This window comes from Homo sapiens, chromosome 4 (assembly GCF_000001405.40).
Source record: "Homo sapiens chromosome 4, GRCh38.p14 Primary Assembly".
Lineage (NCBI taxonomy): Eukaryota > Metazoa > Chordata > Mammalia > Primates > Hominidae > Homo > Homo sapiens.
This window is the reverse complement of record NC_000004.12, coordinates 146,902,414-146,926,504: the sequence shown is the minus strand read 5'-3', so window position 1 is coordinate 146,926,504 and position 24,091 is coordinate 146,902,414. Positions and strand designations below refer to the sequence as shown.

The 24,091-nt window shown below is 32.9% G+C and overlaps 1 protein-coding gene across 13 annotated transcripts in view; it reads left to right on the top strand.

Moving 5' to 3' along the window:
- Positions 1-24,091, top strand: part of TTC29 (tetratricopeptide repeat domain 29) — a 239,248-nt gene that overhangs the window by 19,360 nt on the left and 195,797 nt on the right. For 12 of the 13 annotated variants that reach the window (NR_133922.3, NM_001317806.3, NM_031956.4 and 9 more), the window contains 2 exons: positions 17,256-17,479; positions 22,776-22,961. Coding sequence is in view for 12 of the 13 variants with exons in the window: in NM_001317806.3 (NP_001304735.1) it covers positions 17,256-17,479; positions 22,776-22,961 (410 nt within the window). In the remaining variant the exon portion in view is untranslated. The remainder of the gene's footprint in view (positions 1-17,255; positions 17,480-22,775; positions 22,962-24,091) is intronic. The other variant, XM_006714339.3, reaches the window with a different exon arrangement.

The following is a 24,091-nucleotide window of genomic DNA, read 5'->3' as shown; positions in this document are numbered from 1 at the left end:
CAGGACTCCGTCTCAAAACAAAAAACAAAAAACAAAAAAAAACCTTTGTATTACACAGCTGTCAGATTATAACTAGAAAATAGAAGGCAAATAAATAAAGTATGTAAATATGCTCCCCACTGGAATTACTACAGTTACTATGAGGGAACATTAAGTTTTTCTTTCAACTTCTGGGTAGACTGGGCAAAAAGGAAGATGCGAAGGACTACAGAATTCTCATTACCTGATGAAAAGACATACATCAGTTCTTTAAGAGAGACAAGCTTTTTCCTGATACTAAGCTCCAAAAGAAAGTTATTATATAATCTTATATAAGAAAAATGTGCACACCTAATGCAACAAAATAGTTATTTAGAGAGCTTGTCATAAATATTATATCCTCGTTAAGTTTTCTTTCAAACAAGATAGTAACAGGTAAAATAAATGATTATTGTGTGCTATTCTCTGTGTTAACTGGTCCTTAAAACAACCCTATGAACAATAACCCTTGTTATTACTCCCAGAGACGAAGGCATGGAGAGGTTAAGTAATGTGACAAAGGCAATCTATTGTTATAAAGAAGCAGAAGCAATGCAGTAGAAAAAAGGATGGTTCAAAGAGAGGAAGGAATGAATAAGCTGGAAAGAAAATGGATGACATATATTTGAAATCAATTTTCAGACTTTTCCAGTATTTCCAGGACTACCCTGGATCCAGAACCTCCCTTGGGGTTCAGTTCTACCAGAACTCAGTTGTTCTGCAATCATGATTCAGATTTCCATGAAATCATTTTACTTAAGCTTGTCTGAAACAATTTTTTATCCTATAATCAAAGTAGCCAAAGAAATGCATTGCTGATTAAGGGAATTGTTTTCTCAAAAGTTAGTTTGGCTTAAGGTTTTTCCACATCAATGTCAAGGTCAAGATAAATGACGAATCTCATTTCTTTTCTATATTTGAAATGGCCACACAGAAGTACAAAGGATAATAAATTCTTACCATGATAAGGAAGGAGAGAAAACAAATTAGAGATCTCAAAATTTCAGAAAGCAGTTGAAATATTACTATGGAAAAAAATGATATTTTATAATGATAAAAGGAGTTGGCTCATCAAGAGGACATAAGCCTAAATGTTTGTGCTTCTGATAGTAGAACTTCAAAAAAACATTAAACCAAAACTGATAGAAAGAAGAGGAGAAGTAGAAAAACCCATAATTTTTGTTGGAGATTCCAACATCACTCTTTCAATAGCTGGTAGAAAAACCAGTAGGAATATAGAAGCCTTGGACAATGCCTTTAATCACCTTAAGTAATTGACACTTACAGAATATTCCACCAAACAACAGTAGAATACATTATGTTCAACTGTGCATGGAGGATTTATCAAAGTAGATTATAGTCTGGGCCATAAAACAAATTTTAACATGTTTAAACAATTTAAATCCTTCCAACTGTGTTCTCCTACAGGAATGAAATTAAGTTAAAAATGATAGCAGAAAGAGTTTTGGAAAATCTTCCCGAATTGGGAAGCAAGACAACATACTTCTAAATAACCCCTGAATCAAAGAAGAAATCACAAGTCAAATTAGAAAATATTTTAACTGAATGAAAAAGAAAACACAGCATGTCAAAATTTGTGGGATACAGCTAAAGCAGTGCTTAAAAGGAAATTTATAGCATTAAAATGCTTGTATTAGAAAAATATAAATATCCAAAATTAATTTTCTAAGTTTTCATTTTCAAAAACTGGAAAAAGAAAGCAAATTAAACTCAAAGTTAGTAGAGAAAAAGGAATAGTAAAATAAGGGCAGAAAGCAACCAAAAAACCCATGAAACTAATGCTGGTTCTTTGAAAAAAAATTGATCAACCATTCGTCAAACTGATCAGAGAAAAAATAGAAGACACAGTTTACCAATTTGGGAAATGAAAAGGGACATATTACTACAGATTACACAGATATTAAAGTGTTACTAGGAGATAAACTTTATGCTGATAAACTCAACGACTTAGATGAAATGGCTAAATTTCTCAAAAGACACTGCCAAAGTTCACTTACATAGAAACAGATAACAGAAGAGATTTATATTTATTAAAGACATTAAATCTATAGTTAAAAAAACTTCCTACAAAGAAAATTCCAGCCCCATGTGGCTCCACTAATGAATTCTACCTAACATTAGGGGAAGAAATAATGACAAACTCAACACGAACTCTTCAAGAAAATAGAAAAGGAAGAAACAGTTCTCAACTAATTCTCTGGCAAATAATATGATTAAGCAGCTGAAAGATCTTCATGACAATGTTAATATAAACCTATCACATGTATTAATTAGGGTTAAGGAGATGATCAGGAAACTGAGATTTAAGTGTATTAAGTATATTCTTAAGTGCAGAAAAGTAATATAGCACATGCTATATATATGTTATTTGTTGAATATAAAATATTAATCTAAAAAAATAAAACCAGTAATATTTGCAAATCAGTTGTCCTAAAAACTTTACCCTGAATTGAAATGTTCCTTTTATTAAATGCCAAATTTTCATGTGTGTATGCATATACCTATACACATACATGTACATATATATTCTGTTATATTGATTTATTTGCCTTTTCTTATATTAATGCCACTAATCTTTTTATCAATATAGTTGAAATGCATTCTTATATTTGGCAGACAGTCCCTTTTGTTCCAAATGAGAAAGTTTTTCTTGTATATTCACTGTTTTATATGAATTTTAGAATTATCTTGTCAAGAGTTGGGGAAATATCATTAAGCTTTTATTGGGATTGTGTTAAGTTCATATGTTATTTTAGGAGAACTGACATTATTAAAATACTGAGTCCCACATTAACAAGGACCTTTCATTTCAATGATGTTACATAATAGCATTGACAGCGGCGTCTCTTCACATTCCTGGCTTCAGTGAAGACTATTCTAATGTATCCCAAAGAGAAAGCCCTTTGCCATAGGTTTTTTAATAGATACACGTTACCAAGATAAAGAAACTTTTTTTTAGTTTCTATTTTTCTTAATCATGTGTGAGTGTTGAACCTTGTGAAATAATTTTCTAGCACCTACTAGATTATTTAAAGTTACTAGATTTTCTATTTTGAACTATTCTTCCAATTCTGAGATAAACTCTACTTACGATGGTTTCGATTTATTGACTTCTCTGTGTGTTAGTGTGCACGCGCGTGTGTGATTTTTGTATCTAAATAATAATGATATTGAGCTACGATTTTAATTTTCTTATGCTACAGTTTAAGGTTTTGTAAAATTGGCTAAAGAATTTTTATCTTATTCAATTAAAAGTGAGGGCAAATTAAAAATTTTTTCAGATAATGCAAGGACCTAGAAACATCTCTTCCTCTGCAGTCTTTCTGGGCCCTCCCCCAGTGAAAGAAATTACAATGGTTACTTGTATTTTGTAAAATTGACTAAATAATTTTTTATCCGTTTCAATGCTCTAGCACATTTTGGATGAAATGGGAATTTCTTAGTATTGAAAATTTGGTAGAACTCCCATGTAAAACAGAATAGTTTCTCTCCTTTGGTGAGAGTAGGGGTCAGGGGAAAAGGGGTAGGTAGGTCTTGTAACTGGTCTTCTAAATCTTCTCCAGCTATTGTTATTTTAAAAAATAAGTGCCTATTTATGTAAAATTTTATATTTACTGCAATAAAGTTTAACATGATATTTTCTAATAATGTTAAAGCCTCTTCTATATTTCTTGAAATATTCTCTGTATCTTGGAGGGAGTGTAAAGATAATGATGGCTAATAATACGGGGTCTAGGGTTGGACTGCCTCTGTTGATGAACCAGCTCCATCACTCACAGGTGTGTGTGATCTTCAGCATGTTAATTAAACTCTTTGTGCTATAGTTTCCTCATCTGTACAATGGAGATTAAAATGATAGCACCTATCTCATTAAAAATGTTGTCAGGTTTAAATAGGCTAATTACATGTAAAGTATTGAAAACAGCACCTGGCACATCATTAAGCATATAGTAAGAGTTAGCTGTTACTATAATTATAATTAGAAGCTTTTTCCGTTCGTGCTACTATGTTTAGTGACTATCTGTTTTTGTTTTTCTTGGTTATATTTGCACAGATATCTTTTTCTTTTCACATAACCAGTTCTTTCATTTTATGTGTCAACTTTTTGGTCTCTCTTTTATCATTTTATTAACTTACTGTTAATATTTTCTTCTCAGATTTTTATTTAGTATTATTTCATAATATTTGTTTTGTTAGGGTTTTTTTTTATCATCCTGAGTTGAAAGCTAGCTTCTTCACTAGTATGAGTTGCTCCTGTTTTTTAGAAAATGCACTTAAATCTATAGCCTTCTTTTTAAATACGGTGATAACTTCTTCTTTCTTTCAATTCTAAATATGTGAAAATTTCCATAGTGGTTCTGCATTTAAGCAAAAAATAAATTTGAAGTGTATTTCTAAATTTGCAGTGAGTAGTTTTTGGTGTTTTCTTTCTTTCTTTTTTTTTTTTTTTTTTGTAGGGGATCCAGGATTGGGAAGTAAATCTTTACTCATGCTTAGTAAGTGTGTCATGGATGTATATCCATGGATGTGTACTAAATGTATCAATTTACAAAATTCCTGGTGTGACCAGTACATGGTCAGGTTTTATAAATATTTCTTTTTTTGACGAATAAGTATATATTCTGTATTTGTTTGATAGATAATTATATAAAAATCTCTCAGAATCTAAATATTAGTGTGAGGCTGTTATTTCAATCAAGCTAGGCAATTACTGTTGAAATACTTCTCCCTCTACTTTATCTGTAAGTTTCTGAAAAAAATTAAAATCGATGTCTTCTCATTATTCTGTTAATTTTATGTATTTTTAAGCTATATTATTAGGTGCATTGTTTCCCACCTGCTATATTTTTCAGTAAATTGATCTGTTTATAATAATATCTGATATTATTATGCTCCTTTAATTTTTTTCTGCCTGAATTCTATTTTGTTTAATACTAATAATATTATACAAGCTTTCTTTTTGTTGGTATTTGCATTATTATATGGTAATACAAAAGAAAAATATTCTTGTTCTCCGCCTACTAATCTATTTTATACTTTTTTAAAAAAGTTTAAATCCAAGGCTCTTTTATTTCATCTTCTTGCAAATACTTTCTTTTGTTCTTGCAATGTTCTTATTGATATACTTTTGTATGTACTAATTCCATATTCTTAGTTATAACTAGTAATTTTCTAAATGTTTAGATAGGTGCAATAAAATTAATATGATATTCAGGAAAACAAGATCTTTATATACAAGATCTTTTATATATACACAGATGTTTTCTAGCCAAAGCATTTTATTATGTTCTGGAAGTTTATCATATACATATAGTCTGTGAAAACTCCTGGCTTCACTGTTCATGTGCGCAGCGCACACTTACTTTGCAACGGTAATTAAAGAGCACATAATATGAAAGATTTATTTACATGACTTACAGTTCGGTAGTTATCTTTTAAGCATTCAAGTTTGATAGGGAAATGTATTCTAATTTTATTTTTAGATAAGGGGAAAATCAAAATATGTTGAGTCAAATGAGGAACTATTTCTATAATAGAAACTTAAAAACCCAAAGAAGAAATGAGATCAACTGCTGCTCTTAAGTAGTCAGAACTTGACATTTCTCTTAAGGTATTTCTCACCCAAGACATATAGAATATATATAATTTCTCACCCAAGACATACAGATTTCTCACCCAAGACATATAGAATATTTATATCTAAAAATATAGAACTGGAGTCATCTTAAGAATCATTTGGTTTCTTTTTAAAAATTTTATCAAAAAAGGGGCTCAAGAGAGTGTAGTTAATGGAGTACCAATGATTGATTTGTAAAAGATAAGTTTTATAAGTGTATATACTTTTTTCTCATGACAAAATATCATTACTTCACTAGAAGACATGCCATAGTAAGAGAAATACACATGCAGTTTTTGTTATTTACCCCTACACTATCTTCCATTACATTACTGAAAAGAGCATGAATAATGTTTTGTTTTCATTTTTAATTTATGTGATTTTTTTCCCTTTGTATTTTAAACGTTATATTTCTCTTAAAAACTTGTCATGTTTACAACTCAATGTATACTATTTTTCTTGCCATTATTTTTAATATGTTTAAAGTATTATAGGGAAATATATGTTTAGAGGGGGCAACATTAGAATATATATGACGAACCTATAGGTGTAAAGAATTGATTGTTTTACCTTTCTCAGAGAAAGCTCCTCATGTAGTTGTTTAGTATGAAAGGTTTTTTCTTGAAAAGGTTAAAAAAGTTCTAATCAACTTTTGTACATTATGTAGAACTTCATTTTCTAAACTCTGCAAAAGAAAGTTTCATATTTAATGGGGAATCATGAATTATTCCATTTATTATCTACTTCCTCCTTTCAAAGACATGATCTGGATAAAAGGCGGGGTGAATAATTTCAAAAAATACAATACATTTTTAATGGGAAGGTGCAAACTACAGATTCTCATGACTATTAGCAAGTGTAGAGGAAACAGAATTTTACTTGCAAAACTTGTCAAATTCTTGCAAAGATAAAATGTATGACATACTTTAGTAAAAAAAAATGCAGTGAGCTGAAGTTTTCTTTATAATGCAACTTGTTTTTACTAAGTTTGTTCTTTATATTCTCCAGCTTTTCATTTTTAATAAAAGTTTGATATTTCCCTGAATGTATATGGGAAGTTGATAGTTCTTTTATTTATAATGCTGTGTAGAAAACTAAAAGAAAATTTTAAATGATGTTATTTGAGAAAAAGTTTTCCAAACAATAAAATTTCAAAAAATGTGGAGGGTATCATAGAATTATGTTTCAAAAAACAGAGTGTCAGTGTGAAGATGGGTGGTTTTAAAAAGAAGAACACAACAGAGTGAATATCATATTCTATGGAGTTTTTTGTTAATAGAAATTATAAATACAAATTTAGACAAAAATGATCATTTGATGAGTGAGTATGATGATATTTACATGTATATTTAGTCCACTCTTTGTAGTCCTGTGATATGAAGCTCATTTTTTGTTTCCCTCCTCTTTTCCTCATGTTTCTTCTTGTTATATTAGGACACATAATACACCAGAATTGTATTACTTATTTGAATTTATTTTGTATCATTATAACTCAATTTAAAAGCTAAGATTATTTCCAGGGTTTATTTTTCAGCTTAGGTTTAACTGGTTTTTCTATAGTAGAGAAGTACAGTGTAATCTGAAAGAAAAGAACAAGAATCCATATGATTTGCTGCAGTTAGCCAAAGGTGTTTGGAGTCGTGTTGTAATCCTGGCTTGAAAATACTGTCCCTGAAAAATTCTCCTTTAACACTCATTTAATATCTTTCCATGTGGAATCTTTGGCTTAAAATTTTTCTACACAAATTATTTTGTATAAAGTTTGAATTTCTCAAAGGAGTTTGGAAGTAATAAGACTTTTATCAAAATTGCATATGTAATTAACCTCATATAAGGAGCTTTTCTTCCAATCCTTTTTTACCAGACTACTAGAGAAGTTTTCATTAAAGGCAGTTACTTTTTGTGAGATCAACAAATGTTTCTAAAACAAACAGTATTTTTTTAAGTCTTAAAAATGTGTATGTTTGAGGTTTTTCGATAAAGAAAATGAATGATGCTGAAGTGCTGTGCGACAGCTACCGTGGGTAACTATTTTGGTAATACTTTCTATTGTCTGATGAATAGTTTATCCATTCCTGGTTGATAACAATTACTGTACTTGAAATATTTGATTAAATGGGAATCACTTGAATAAATAACTTTGAGCAAGTGGGCACATAAAAAATGCCTTTATGTTATTAAGGAAATTATCTAAAGTTATTGTAAAGATTATAGTCCTGTACTATTTGCTAAATAAGCATGCTTTCCTCTGATATTTGTTAATAATCATCAATGAAAATATAGTTTGGTTTATAAACATTTGTTGATCTCACAAAAAGTGACTGCCTTTAATGCAAAACATCAGTTCTATCAAAATAGAATCTGTGAAATAATTTCTGTCCCATTCTACACAAATATTTCATAACTTCTAAAATATAATCACCCATGTTGAAATGAATTCTTATCAGGCTATTGAGAGAATCTTTACTGATCAAATTTTTAGATATTTTTATTATTCGTTGAGTTATATTAGTGATAGTACTATTTACAAAATGCCAGAGGATAAACTTTATTCCTTAATTATTACTAGTTTTTTTCTTAAAAAATAAAGGTTGAACTTAGGTTAGTTTTTTCAAAATAGCATTTTTCAATTTGTATATATACTTTTAAAATGTTGAAATTCTGACTATGCTTTTCTTTATTATTAATAGATAAAAAATCCAAAAATACAAAGCAAAACTTGCATATGTAACAGTTTCGTCTAAAGTTCAAATTAGTAAACGCGTAACTGTTTTGATAATCACATAAAAATTCTATTCCATAAAATGTTCTGGGGGGCAGATTTTATTTATGTATTTAAAATTGTTAAATTGGCCTATCTACCTAAATTGAGTCTAAATCAAAACTGAAACAGAATGCTATATTAATATTTATATTCTGACTTTTTGGTAATATTTTTATATTGCTTAATTTTTTCAGTTCATATAATAAAAGATGAAATCATTTATTTGGATAGCAATTCTAAGAAATTTTTAGAAAAATTATAAATTAATATATTGCATTAGACAATCTCTTTGGAATGAAGCTAAAATGTTATGTGACTCTTTACAAGGAGAATTTTATATAATTTTTATATATAATTTTATATAAATTGTGTATCATATAATTTAATATAAGTAATATAATATAAAATTTATATAATGCATAATTTTATATAAATATATAATATATAATTTATATAATATCTAATTATATATTATAAATAATATATAATGTATATAATATCTAATTGCATTTTATAAAAATTACATATAAATTATATAAATTTTACAGCAATATATAAAATATATAATGGTAAAATATAAGCATATCACAATATTTATACTTTCAAATTATATTTTTAATCTCTCAAAGTGAATATGGTCTATAAATTCTGCAAAAAAATCAAGATCATTATAATGGCTGTGATATTTAAATTATATGATTAGTCATAACATAATATTATAAAAAGAGCTTTTTAATTAAAATATGTTAAATTATAATACATTGAAATGATTGTATTGTGTTCATTATATGTTCAATATTCTTTAAGGAGGTTCTGAAATGTTTAGAGGACATTAATAACAATGTTCATTTTAATGATGAATTCTAGTTGTAATGACTATAATGAAAAATTCTTCTGATCCAAGTATAATAAATTCTACTTTTTGAGATGTTAACATGTAATAATTAAATTAAATCATATAGAAAATAAGCAGTAGTCATATTATTTATGATTGGTGGATGTATGAGATACAAAATGATTTGTTTTAGAGAATCCATCATAATTTAAAAGTGCTTTATATATATATTTTATTTGGATTAATAAAAATTTCTCATTAAATATGTGAATGTTTAAGTATAAAATATTTTTCTAATTTTTCCAAAAATAAGAATTGGATGCTTTGAAAACTGTTAATCTATGGTATGCCACCTGCCCTATTTACATTTTTAACAGTTGAATATTTGTTAACTGATCTCATAGACAGCTACATGTTTTGCTGTTACCAGATGGATGAGATAGAATACCATGCATAACTTTACATTTATCTTCTTTGTCAACTTATTTGCATATCAATTAAAATAATATCTGTATTAGGATGGATAGTGAAAGTTACCAAATTTACATGATGTAACTGCAGTTTGCTAAATTTCCAGTAGATGCCCCCAGAGACCAGTCAACTCATTGGAAATCATGTAAATTTAAAGACCTTTTTATATTGAAACTTCTTTCTTGCTATATTTTGAAGTGCATGGAAAATAAATTAAGAATTCTAAAAATCTTAACTCACTAATCTTTCTTACAAAATACATATATGGCTGTTGGTAGCCCAATTCTTAATCATTGCTAATCAATACTATGACTAATAATTGTGAACAACCTAAGCATTAAGAAAAATGCTTTCAGTTTTCATTATAATTCTATATGGCTTTAAAGTAAAAAGTCATTTTAAACACTCTCAAATTTTTTGTCTTTTTAACTTCTCTCTCTTTATACATTTATATGGCTAGGAAAATGCTATATTGTTATTTTAGCTTTTGGGAAAAAATAGCATTTTTACCAAAAACTATAAAACATAAACAACTCATATAATTTTTATCAGTTAGTAGGTGTATGTCAAGAAATGACTTTTTAAATTCTGATTACGATATACATAATATCTATCTACACCGAAAAAGATAGGTAAGAATAGTGATTCACTTTATTCCAAGGAAATTATATTAACTGAAGCTATTTAAGTATTAATTTAAGTCAATGTAATTATCCCGTAGGTGATTCCAGTAACATTTATCCCTACCATATGAATGTAAAACTGTTATAACTGACACATGGATAACCCACTCGTGACTTATAAATATTAACTTAATGAAATAAAAGTATTATCCTGACTTTTGATTAGATGTTACATATCTTTTGATTTTATCTTTGTCAGATTAAATGAAAATTTTATGATCTTGTTTTAAAGTACGGTTTTTTTATTGAACCGCTTTTGAAATATTTCACTGACTGTAAAGCTTCATCTTGATTCCATAATTCAGTTTATCCTATGAAAAAAATATGTTAAATATATCAGTCATATAATTGAATATACAATAATGCCTTTGATTTTAAAAATTCACCTAATAACTTATACAAAGACCTACTTAGGTGGTTTTATATTACTTGTTAGATTTATTAGTTTAGGTGCAGAGAAAGTAAAATAAATTGTAATTTCTATTCATTGCATCTATTCATCTTTTTTATATTTATAGAAGTATATGCTTTTTATCCTTTTAAATGTTTGTCTTTGTCAGTGTTTTTCCCGTTAGAGTTTACACCCTTGAGTGGGAACCATATCCATTTAATTTGCTCTTCCTGGATGCTGCTGGCTGTCTGCTCTCTCCTTTTAAAGAGAAGGATTTTCTGGGGGAGTCACAAAATGATACTGATCTCTGTCTCCAACCCAACCTAAACATGGATTGCCATGGATAAAGAGAATGGCTTACCAATTGAAAGATTGCATCATAATTGTCAAATAACATCAAATTCCTAATCAATGCAATAAATAAAACATTGTGTGGAGGAGGAGAAGAAGAAAAAGCAACAATACATGATATAATAGGAGGCAATGTAGGGAAATGGGAAGAATTCAGAATTTGCAACCAGAGGGAGCTGGGTGTGAATTCCAACTCTGCCATTTACTATTAATAACTTGTATGGCTTTGGGCAATTCACAACCTCACTGAAGACAGGTTTTTTAATTTGTAAAAATTGAAGTAGTTCTTTATACAGTTATTGTGCCAGTTAGAAATGATGTCTACACAGTGCCTGACACATTGTGGGTGTTCTATAAATAGTAGCTATTCAAAATAGTTTAAGGCAGAATTTTAAAACACTATAATATCTCCATGGCTGTTTAGCAGTAAATTCTCCATTTCCCAGCATCTCTATATATTCACCTGCTGTGGAGTTATGCCATATTGTTCAGCTCTGCTTTCTGTCAGTCTCTAGATTTTTTAAATCTCTGCATTTTTTTAGGGAGATGTTGATGTGAATTCAAAACAATTAACAACATCTCCATTGAATGAATAATGCCCTTAAATGGCAATAAAACCCATATGAAATGCTTGACTACTTAATTTCATTCTCAAATGCATTCTCAAGCTGCATCCCTTATCTCGTTGCAGCCCCAAGTATCTGCAGTGGCAAAGATCTTCCTCAGGATACATTCAGCATGTCCACGAATGTGACAACTTTTGCTTCTGTGAATGGCACGTTTTTTTCCTGTCAGATGAACTCTCCTCATATTTCCTAATATTAAATCTCTCCATAAATTTTACCAGCATTCTCTATTTTCATCCAGTATCATGGCATCAGTTCAAGAAGATTTTTCTTTTTCTGATGCTTAAAAACAGCATCTGTTAATTTAGACTAATATTCATAAAAGTTTTTTAATGTGTAAATGAAACCAAAGCCTAAAAAGTTTATGGCCAAATGAAATAATGATTAAGCGAATAAATCTGAGTTTTGTTTATATTTCTATTTGTGTTTAAAACAATTCTCTTTCATACAGCAAGTGAACTTGGGCTATGGTTCTCTGTTATGAAATTTAAAACCTGAGAAATTCAAATCTAATGGTAGAGATTGACATTCCTTTTTTTTAGATAGCCGATTTATTTTAATAAAAGAAGATTTTCTGGTTAAAAGAAATAATTTGCAATAACTATGAAGGTTTAGATAGGAACCTATTTATTAAACCACTATAATTGTCTTTTCTTGCTCTCAAATATTAGCAATGAGGCTTAAACAGTAGCATATTTGTATGCATAGGTATGTGCGCATGTGTGTAAAAAATAGAGATGATACCAGCATAGTTCTATATGCATATTTAAATACATTTCTATTTGTAACATCATCTGTAAAGAATGATCTTTTTTAAAAATGTACTAGAAATTTTAAAAATTGATATCAGTTATATATCACAGATGTTTGAAGCTGAAAGGCATTGTGGAAATGATTGTCCAACCCCTTCTGAATCACTTAGTGTTCTTTGGTCACAGACAGCAGAAATGGATTCTGACTAAATCAAGTGGAAATGATTTTATTGAAAGGTTATGGTGGAATTTAGAGGAGAACCCAGATCAGAAGAAAAAGACCAGACCCAGCCCTCTCAAATGGACGTAGTTAGCAGGAACTACGAGAGAATCTTGTCAAGATTCTTCCAGATTGATTGAGCACCAGCAACCTCCTACACCTTTATGTTGCTTGCCTCTGGTTTCAGAATTTTGGGAGAGAGACCAGTTGGCCTAATTTGGGTCAATAACCCACTCCTTGGCTAGGGAGTCCCTGAATTTCCATGCCACCAAGACTACACACAACGTGGGATTGGTTATTTCTGAAATACTTTTAGAATGTGCCTCCTGTGGACGTGGAGCTAGATGCTGGGTGGACCAAATCCAGCAAAAGCACCTTCATCTTCCAGGTGGGGAAAATGAGGCCCAGAGTGATTTTTCTGGATTTCTGACCCTGTTGTGATTAGAACTGAGACAGCCTTCTAACTGCCCTATCTAGCATTTATTTGTATCATTTATGGTCAATTTTAATTTTTATCTATTTATAATTTTCTTCATTTTGGCCCCCAAATGTTTTCTTCACTCCTAGGAAGATCGGCTGGCCGCCAGTGCATACACATACAAAGGTGGCATTGCTTGTGTGAGCAAGATTACAACCCCTTGTCCTCTCAGGCCTCCTATGTCACCCCCCAAACTGCCTTCTAGGGTAACACGTGGAGGTCCCCTCAGGCTCCTGAAACTCCAGTTATCTGAACCTTAACTCATTATCTTTCCCCAAACCTGTTCATCCTTTCGTGTTCCCCTCTTCAGCAAATTACTAATTACCCATTACCCAATCCCAAAACCTGGTTGTTATCCTTGCTCCTCCCTTTCCTTCACCCTTGATATCCTTTGAATCACCAAGTAACCCATATTTTTGTCTCCTTAAAATGTTTTGAAATCACCTACTTCTCTCTATCCTTCCAGCTTTACCCTGGTTCCACCCCCAGCACCTCTCCTTTCCACAACCACCAGTCTCCCATCTGTTCTTCCTGCTCCCGGTTTTACCCTCCTCCCCTCCCTTCTCTTGGATCAGGTGTGAATTTCTGACTCACAGACTCGAGAATGCTAAATTGAAAGTCTTTATTTTTTTATAACTTAATTTTAATTCCTGGCCCTGAGCCTTGATCCTCCCTAGTGTAAAAATCCAATCTTGTCACTCTCAGGTAAAGTCAGTCCAATTCGGCAGTTTCTCAGGTTGTTCAAGATTCTAAAACTTCTTCCCCTCACCCTATTTTCCTACACGGAAACAGCAGCGCACTACTCGGGGCTTCAGGGGAGTAGAGTTACTAGATTTAGCAAATAGAAATACAGACCATACAGTTCAGTCTGAGTTTCAAAAACAAGAAATTTTTTTTTAGAATAAGTATGTTCTGTGCAATATTTGGGGAATACTGCTAATAAAAAAATCATTCATTGTTTATCTGATGTTAAAATGTACCTGGGCATCCTACATTTTATCTGGTAACCCCCTGGGGTAACAACATTTATTTTCAGATCTTGACCTGGAACAAGCTTGTCCAACCCAGTGCCCGTGGGCCACATGCGGCCCAGGATGGCTTTGAATGTGGCCCAACACAAATTCATAAACTTTCTTAAAAAGGCTATGAGATTTTTTTGTGATTTTTTTTTTAGCTTATCAGCTATTGTTAGTGTTAGTGAATTTTATGTGTGGCCCAAGGCAATTCTTCTTCCAATGTGGCCCAGAGAAGCCAAAAGACTGGACACCTCTGACTTCTAGGACTTTGTAATTGTCACTGCATTTGTCTGGCCAGTATCCATTCCTTCCTCCATCTTTGCAGACATAGCTCTAGTTTTGCTTGGGGGCAGCAACATGCCCAAGAGCAGGCAGGGTATTTGTTTTTCCAGACTCCTTGCACCAAGGTGAGGAGTGGGGCTGTGACAGGGTTCTGGCCAATAAACAAGTGGAAATCCGCTAGTGGTTGCAGGAATGTTTCATTTTTCCCTAAAATAAGGGATGCCAGTGCCAACCCACTTTCCCTTTTCTTCCTGTCTTGAAAGTAGACCTAATGTCTGAAGCTGTAGCAGCCCTGTAGCAACCAGTAAGGGACCAGAAGGAGGGAAAGTCAAGATAACCCCAGAGACATGGTCTTGAACTTGCCAGGCTACTGAACCAAGGCCCTCAGCTGCCTGCCTTTAGGCAAGAAAATTAGAAACCTCCATTTTTCACAGCACTGTGAGACAAGTTTCTTTTACTTATAGCTGAATGCATTCCTAGCTTATGAAGTCCTTTACATGTGTCCATCTCTGATGTACTTGATCCGTCTTTGTTCTATGAGCTCTGGAAATATGCTGACCTGAACCCTTCAGGAGCTCCCCAGTATGCTCATTTCAGTTTTAGCTGTGTCTTCCTTCAGTCCCCAGTGGGCAGCCCATGAGCAGTCATTAGGATACATCTCCTTGCTATGGCCAGATGACATTGTGACAGACTTATCAGCCCTCTCCTCCCAGTAAATTCTGGGCCACACATGATGCCCACTGGAATATTAAGTCCCTTCTCCTATACCATTCATGGGCTGTGGGCAATTACAGGGTTGGTTCTGGTCCTCTTCTGCCTAGAAGTGCTATGCAGGGACTTTTGCTGCCTTTGCATGCCCTTGCGTATAGGGAGGTGGGGAGAGGGATGTTGGTAATCCTCCCTGCCTTCAATAACCCTAGATGGGAAGCAGGATATGAGTGTTTTCTACTCTTGGCTCTCACTGCATTTCACAGGATGTTGACTTTTCTACTCTCTGAGCCCCTCCATTTGACTGGAGTGAGAAAGAGAAAGAGAACATGGCCCTCCAAGCATCTCACTGCCTTTCTCCATACTTTTCTCCTCTATCGATCGCAATTGGAGGACAGGAATAAGTAACAAGCACTATTCCTTTTCTCTTCCCCATTTCAAATATATCTTATTCTCATACTAAATGTTGGCATTTGATCTTTTGACCTAGGATCCATGTGGTCTCTTTATTCTCTTTACGAACTAGTTCTGTAACAACCTGACTGCCATATAGGGGAAGGTTGCGGTTCAGCTGGGACACTTCTTCCAGATGACTTTTGTAAAATGCAGTCTCGTCATGTCAGTTCCCTGACTCTGATCTCCAATAGCTCTACCTCCCTCCCAGCTTGGAGTCCAAACTTCTCACTGTTGTTTTTACCGTAAGATCTCTTCATGATCTGGTCCCTGCCTTTTTTTCTAAACTTCCTGTCTCACCACTCTCCTGCTTGCCACTCCTCATTTGTTTGTTCTCTACCTAAGTTGATCCAATGGATAAGAAATCCTTGGTAGATGCAAGTCTAGTCACTTTGTTTTGTTTTGTTATTTGTTTGTTTTTTTGAACTCTGTAGGTGAATCTAATGCATAATGAGGAATTGAGAAGCAGCAGTGAGATTTCACATTTCCCAGAGTATTCTCACATACCTAATTTCATTTGGTTCCTAGAGGAATCCCATGATGTAGGTAGCATATACTAATATACACAGCTTAGAGATGAGAAGACTGGAGACCCAGGGAGGTGAGGCAAAACTGGACTCAATCTTGGTGGTCTGGGCTGTTTCCACTCCACGGTGAATTTTTGTTGCCAGTAGTATCACATCATGTCGTTTGTCCTATTTTTTTTTAAAGAATATAATATAATTAGTATAAAGCTATATCTTTTGGTATCTAATTGTTCTTTTAATGGAATAATAGCCACTACACAGCTATTATCTCACAATTCTGTTTATTTCCTTTCTAGAAATTTTCGTGATTTGAAATTATTTCTCATTTGCTTACTTATTTGTTAGTCATGTTCTGCCCCTAGAATGTAAGCGTCACAAGGGTATGGAATCTATTTGGTCTAGAACAGCGCCTGGCACTTAGTAGGAAACTCAGCACCTATTTGTCGCTTGACTAAATGGAATATTCATTTGTCACTTTATCTTTTTGCATTTGATTATTGAAGTGAGAATATAATTATTAATCATTAACTTAATTCTAACTGAAAGTAATTAAAAAATATATAGTTAGTAATAGATTTCAATAAATATTTTCTGCATGAATGAAAGAATGATGAACTTCTGTAACATACAGTGAAACTACTAATATAGAGAGAATATTGTTTTGATATTAAATGGCAAGTTTTATTTTTGCTTGACTTGTTGAGGTTTTTTTTGGTGGGAGGCTGATATATCAAGTATTTTTTAATATTCATCAGTCAACTAGCTTATTTGTCCTTATCAAATGGAGCTCAGCTCTGGAACTGATATGTTTATAATGTAATTTCATTAAAATTACTGTGTTTAGATAGCTCCTGGCATCTTTCATTAAACAGAAGTTGTTCAATTATAAGTGTTTGAGGCAAAGATCTTTTGATAGTTTTCAGTGCTTTCACTGAGGGATAAAAGGCAACATGATTCAACCTTTAATTATTAGAGAATGAAAATACCGTGCAGACTGAAAGGATTAACATAAACCTGAGAGTGTTCTGATTCATATTTCCAGTTATAGGAACTCCTACAAGAAGAATATCTGTGTGGACATGCTGCGAGATGGTTATCATAAGTCCTTCACCGAGCTCTTCGCTCTGATGGAGCGGTGGGATGCCCTGAGGGAGGCTGCGAGAGTCAGGTCCCTCTTCTGGCTGCAGAAGCCCCTGGAGGAGCAGCCTGATAAACTGGATTACCTGTACCATTACCTGACCAGGGCTGAGGACGCTGAGAGGAAAGGTAAGTGGTGGGACTGTGGGCAGAGCACAGAAGGAGCCAGAACACCGAGCTCCTGGGGGAAGATTCCAGATTGTTTCATGTATGAATTTGAAACATTAAGACAACTTAGCACACTTCAACCCAGTCAATTAAACGTCTTTATGGAATTAAGGAAAGGGAATGTTGGATCACGAGGCTGCCCAGACACGGGGGCATTCTGGTGATGTCCTTCCGAGCCAGGGAAGACAACACATAGCACCTAATAATATCTCCAGAACTTCCCCCATGAATTAACATAGTTCCTATCATTAGGTTTAAACCTTTCTACAGTTTTTCTGTATACGTAATCTGAATATTGACTTTCATAGAGGAGATACTTTCAAAGAGTACTATAACTTGAAAATCACACTGATTTTCCTAAGTTTAGATAGTGGACTTTGAAGTTTGGGTCAAGAAGTCCTACTGATTTGAATCAGAGAATTTATCTTTGTAAATAGTAAAAAGACATGAAAATCCTGCAATTCACAATTGCAAATAAAATTGTCAATTTTATATTTTCCATGACATCATTTCTAATACATTTTTTGTATTTCAAAATTTTCCAGAAAGTTAGTATACATTCCAAGTATTAAATATTTTCATTTCTACACTAATTATACTGATATTGTTGTCATAAATATTTCTTAGTTACATATTAGGAACTGGTCATTTTAACTAGTCATCTATAATCAAATAAAAAAATGAAATTCTAGAATTTGGCATGTAAATTTGGTATTCTAAATTATTCTTTTCTCCAAATTTTTTGGGGAAAATACCACAGGATTCAAAAAGAAAAACTCAGGCCTCAACATGACAATGTCTACATGTCATTTCAGGCTTTTCTATGAGAAAATAGGGTATCAGCAACTTTTTGTTACCCAATGGTACCATGGAGAAAATTTATGGAGTCATGTAAACAACATTAGAAGAGTCTCTATATGTTGGAGCCAATACATATTTCCCATCAGGTTGTGACCTGACTTATGAATATGAGACACACAAAAATGTGAACAACAAAACAAATGAACTAGGGTGTGTGTGTGGCAGGGGTGGGATAGGAGGTGGTTATGTATATTATGAAAAGGGTTTCACTGCAGGATGGATGTGAAAAAAAATATTTTGGTGAACTTTAAAATATTATTTACAATTATTTCTCAAGAAATTAACTATTGTAAATAAAAAGTGCTATTATAAAAAACCTCCATTTTGGCTGGGCGCGGTGGCTCATGCCTGTAATTCTAGCACTTTGGGAGGCCAAGGCGGGTGGATCACCTGAGGTCAGGAGTTTGAGACCAGCCTGGCCAACATGGTGAAAACCCGTCTCTACTAAAAATACAAAAAAATTAGCCGGGCATGATGGCGGACGCCTGTAATCCCAGCTACTCAGAAGGCTGAGGCAGGGAATTGCTTGAACCCGAGAGACAAAAGTTGCAGTGAGCTGAGATTGCTCCATTGCGCTCCAGCTTGGGTGACAAGAGCAAGACTCCATCTCAAAACAAAACAAACAAAACAAAACAAAACAACCTACATTCTAGTATTTGCCCAAAATTCTACAGTGATATTTAAACTGAAAGTAGAACTAAGATAATATTTGCTCATTAGCTGTTTTATTCCATTGAATTTTATCATATTCACTGTTTTAAATTGAGGCTTTCATTGGAGATAGTGTAAATATAAGCTAAATATGTCACTTGTCATAAGGTGTCATAGATGTGAGCCAGCTTGTCATAAAGCTTTTTCAAATTTATAAGAACCTAAAATGCCAAATAGTCTATTTGAGGGTAGAAAACATTTTAATATATAATATTTCTTAAAGGAAAGTTACTATAAGTAAAAATGTTTCTCCAATCCAAAAGTTAACAAAGCCTAACTTTTTGTTTTGTTTTGAGACAAACTCTTGTTCTGTCAACCAGGCTGGAGTACAGTGATGTGATCTCAGCTCACTGCAACCTCCTTCTTCCAGGTTCAAGTGATTTTCCTGCCTCAGCCTCCCGAGTAGCTGGGACTACAGGCACAAACCACCATGCCAAGCTAATTTTTGTATTTTTAGTAGAGACGGGGTTTCACCATGTTGGCCAGGCTGGTCTCGAACTCCTAACCTCAAGTGATTCTCCTACCTTGGTCTCCCAAAGAGCTGGGATTACAGGCGTAAGCCACCGCACCTGGCCCAAAGTCCAAAGTTATAATAGCCAAAGTCTCTTCTGTAGGATTATCTCCCACAAAATGCAGTGGCTTTTGTCTGGTTGAAATATAGAAAATTAAAATTATTACAAAAGTATTACTGGAAAAACTTCAGCTGAAGGACATGTAAACATTTGTGTCACCTTTTTTCAAAAATTGTTATAATTTTTTTTCCACATTCAACACATGAACTTTATTGGAGGAAAATTGTGGTTTGAATTAGGGATGTACCAGAAAATGAGATATGCACATTCACTCTTATTAACTTGAATGAATCCTAAATCTTAAAATGTGTATGTAAGCCTAGAATATAGAAATGTGTTAATAGTATCTTAAAGTTCCATTCCATATGGTTGTGACATTAGAGGCAATTTTCCTGAGATAGCATATAACTGAGCAATCTCGTTGCTTCTCATTGGAAGAACCATCACTCTAGGGTCACAGTGAAGTTCATTTAATCAAAGCTATGGCATTAACAATAGTCATCTCAGGTCAGTTCTATCTCTTGAGACTTACAGAGCAGTAACCTAGAGTTATTTAAATTACTTTATAAAACACTTGCTGTTTTATAGCAAAGGTGTGTTTAAAGTAAGCCAATCATTTCTTTTTGGGTTATTTTCCATTTGTTAAAGTGTTTCTTTGTCCCTGATACTTTTTTTTTTTAAATATTATCCATTGTCATGAATCATTGCTGTGCCATCTGTGACATCTGATTTGAGCCTTATGCCCCATGGGGCTAGGGAAGAGATGACAAAAATGGTAATGGGTAAGAGAATCAATAGATAATTCAAACATTATTTACACTTGACTTTTAAATTTATTAAGGGTTGAGCAGCAATTTTTTTCTAATAATGTTTGTTTAAGATACACAAATTATGTTCTAAGGCAAAATTCCACAGGTGTTTACAGATTTGATGTAAAGCAAAACAAAACAATTTTCTGGCCAAATAAGCTTGAGAAATACCCGGTGAACTAACATTGAGGTTAAGCAGGTTAATTTATTGCAGGACTAATCAGAGCATTCAGCATGCTGATGTATATTGTGTGGTTTACTGAAAAAGGAAATTTGCAAAAATGTTTCCCAAATTTATTTTATTGTAGAATCTTCTTTTTAAGGAGCATAAGAAACCCACAATAAAATTGATTTTCATCTTCTGAATATACCTGCTGTCAATTCAAGGAAGTGGTCTACAAGCAAGGAGAGAAGGCTACTTGTAGCCTTTGTAAAGGGTACAGGACACATATTTGGATTGCCCAAAGATTTGAAACTTGAATATATTCTTTTATATTTAATATTCTAGAAAACAATCCTTTATTCATAGAAAAATAGCTTAGCTGACAAGTAGTCTTTAAATATGTAATCTTGGTAGCTTATCTAACTCATTCCTAAAAAAAAAAACCTTATGAAATGTTGCAAATATTTTTACATTAAGGTTTAATTACTAAAATATAAAAAAATTGTTTCGGGACTACATATATTTTTAATTATATATATATATATACTTTTTATTAAAGTGGAAAATATGAAATGTTTTACTTACTGACTTCTAAAAGCAATAACTCTCTAATCAGTAAATATAACCAAGAATATGAAATATTACAAAACAGACTTTAGTGTTGTATTCACATTATGTAGGAAGTTCATAATGGAAAGACAAAGCACAGAAGTATTCTGAGGTGGGAGTATTTGCGTCAGATAAATAGCTTAGGTCATGCGCTACTTTTCACCTGAGCTGTCACCTGGTGTGAGTGTCCTCGAAAAGCAGAATGGCTCTCCAGAATCTCCAGCAACTTCCAGGATAGGGAGACCTTTTTATTTTGTTTTCCAGTTATTAAATTTATTTTGATATAAATGTTAATTTCCATTGGAATTTTAAAGAAGTATATGTAAAGGAATAGAATCGGTTTTAGAAATTTCTTTTGAAACATTGGGGTGACTTACTTACGGTTCTGCAGAATGACCCTTTGTTGTAATCAACCTGTTTCATTTTTTCTGACTTTTGGTTTTAATCTTACAGGTGTCCTAGTGGGCAATATTTTTCATAATTGTAATCTCTTCAGGAATATGTGGGTTGACTCCTCTGGTAGTAGTGAACAATTAATATCAGTGAATTCTAATAGATAATGACTGTTACTAAAAAATTATTGGAAGGGTAACCCAGAGACCACTGCATTTTATAATACAACTATGATTTCAGCATAAATACAAAAGACATAAATATTATGAATTTGTTCATATTCACCATTAGAGTGGAGTTTACAGGACTGAGGCACAACTTATTAACACACAGACATATTCGTTCAGGTTTACTATCACAGTGGGGTTTATAAGACTGATTCACAATTGACGGACACATTTTTTTATGTAGATATAGGTTAGATACCCTTTAGGAAAAAAAACCTACAAGAGTTTAATTAAGAACTTTCTGAGTAAAAACGACAGTATTTATGCATTCCCAGCAAAAAAATACCCATAGAAAACAGAAGCGTAGAAGTCTACTCTTTCTTAACATTGCTAGAAATTTGTATTGCTAGAAACATTGCTTGAAAGCATATGGAGCTTATAGGGTCATTCTGATCATCATTTGTTGTATCTATCAGGCCCGTGACATTTTTATGATATGAAATACCTTGGTATTTTCATATCCATTTTGCTCTCTTCATTTACATTATCTTTTGCTATGGCTGAGAAACATTGCCATCTCTAGAATCTCTAAGTACTTTCAAACCTCCAGTGGGAAAAGTACTCAATGAAACTACATAATCCTTTCTTCCAAAAGCACTCAGCATGTTGCTAGTAGGTATTGTCCTGTCCTACATCTTAAAGCCTCCTGTTTCAACCAGATAGTGTCAATTTCCTACATGTTCTAAGTTTTCAGAAAGCCTTTTGTTGCTTTACTCATCTGCACATCCTTTAATTAATGTAATTAATATAATAGTTAAAATAAATTAATTTTTGCTTTTAGACCCAATTTTTAAAATTGGTAATCACATCTTTAAGGAAAAATAGGAAGTCATGATATTGGTTTGCCGTTCTAAAGGGTGTGCCATGAGACATCTTTCTAATGCCATTCATGGTGCTTTTCTCTCTTTGAAGAATCCTTCGAAGATGTACATAATAACTTGTATGCTCTGGCCTGTTACTTCAATAATTCTGAAGACAAGTGGGTAAGGAACCACTTCTATGAACGATGTTTTAAGATTGCTCAGCTGATCAAAATTGACTGTGGGAAGAAAGAAGCCGAGGCACACATGCATATGGGTCTTCTCTACGAGGAAGATGGTGAGTGGGCATTTGCCAGGATGCCTTGGGTATGTTTTGGTGGATCCTGAGATCACACAATGGAAAAACACGTGGTGGTCGAGAAAAAAGACCTGAGATTTCAGCATAATCATGTATATTATTGAGATCAAAAAGCAAAACCATGTGACTTGTGGACCCAGCTTCAGTATTCCTTGCAGAATATTTTTTGCAGAATCCCTTGCTCATGCTTCTGCCTGAGTGCTCAGCCTACAGTTCCCACCCGGTAACATCCTCACCAAGAGAAAGCATTCTCCCCAACCCCTCTACACACAGGATGAAAAGAATGAAAGGTATACTTTTAGATTTTCATAATGCCCCATGCCCCTTATATGAAAACCAAGAAATATCTGTATAACTCACGTAACACCTCATCATGATTTTTAAAATAATTCCTGAATGTAATACTCATTTAAAAATAACTTCATACTTAATAATGTTAAGACAAGCCAAAATCTAAAACAACAACAAAATTGTCAGAAATAGATAATATATAGTGGCTGATCAAGGATTGCAAATAGGAATTTAAGAATGGAAAATTTTTATGGCAGAATAGTGTGTAGATAATATAAAAAGAAAATATAGGGAAAGATGAAAAGATTTGATCTTGAATAATGCCATTTCTTCCCTCAAAACACTATCTCATTTTGCATAAAAGTTTTTACTTTGGTGAAACTGCTAAATTTTAAAAATATTTATTATTTTGTGACTAGGACTGCATAGGACTTTGAAAGTGCTTCAGGAAGTTGCAGTTCATGTGATTGTAGCTAAAGCTCGCAAGGCGCCTGAACATTGTCAGAAGCCACCATGCGTGCTAGACATAGGGAGTATTAGAAAAGCTCAGAGAAGTGAGAGATCATGCAGACTAGATTCAAGGAAGGCACGATGCAATCAGGAGGGACTGGCAAGGGACTTGGAAGATGGGTGGAATTTAGGCTTGTAAATAAATAGGAATATATTCTGTGAAGAGGGAACAGTGTACACTAAAGCATAATTAGAGCAAATGGTAAGAGGGACAACCTGCGTCCAGTGGGAAGTGTGGAGTGTTTCTTCGAATAGTTAAATTATTTTTTTAACTTTTATTTTAAGTTCAGGGGTACATATGCAGGTTT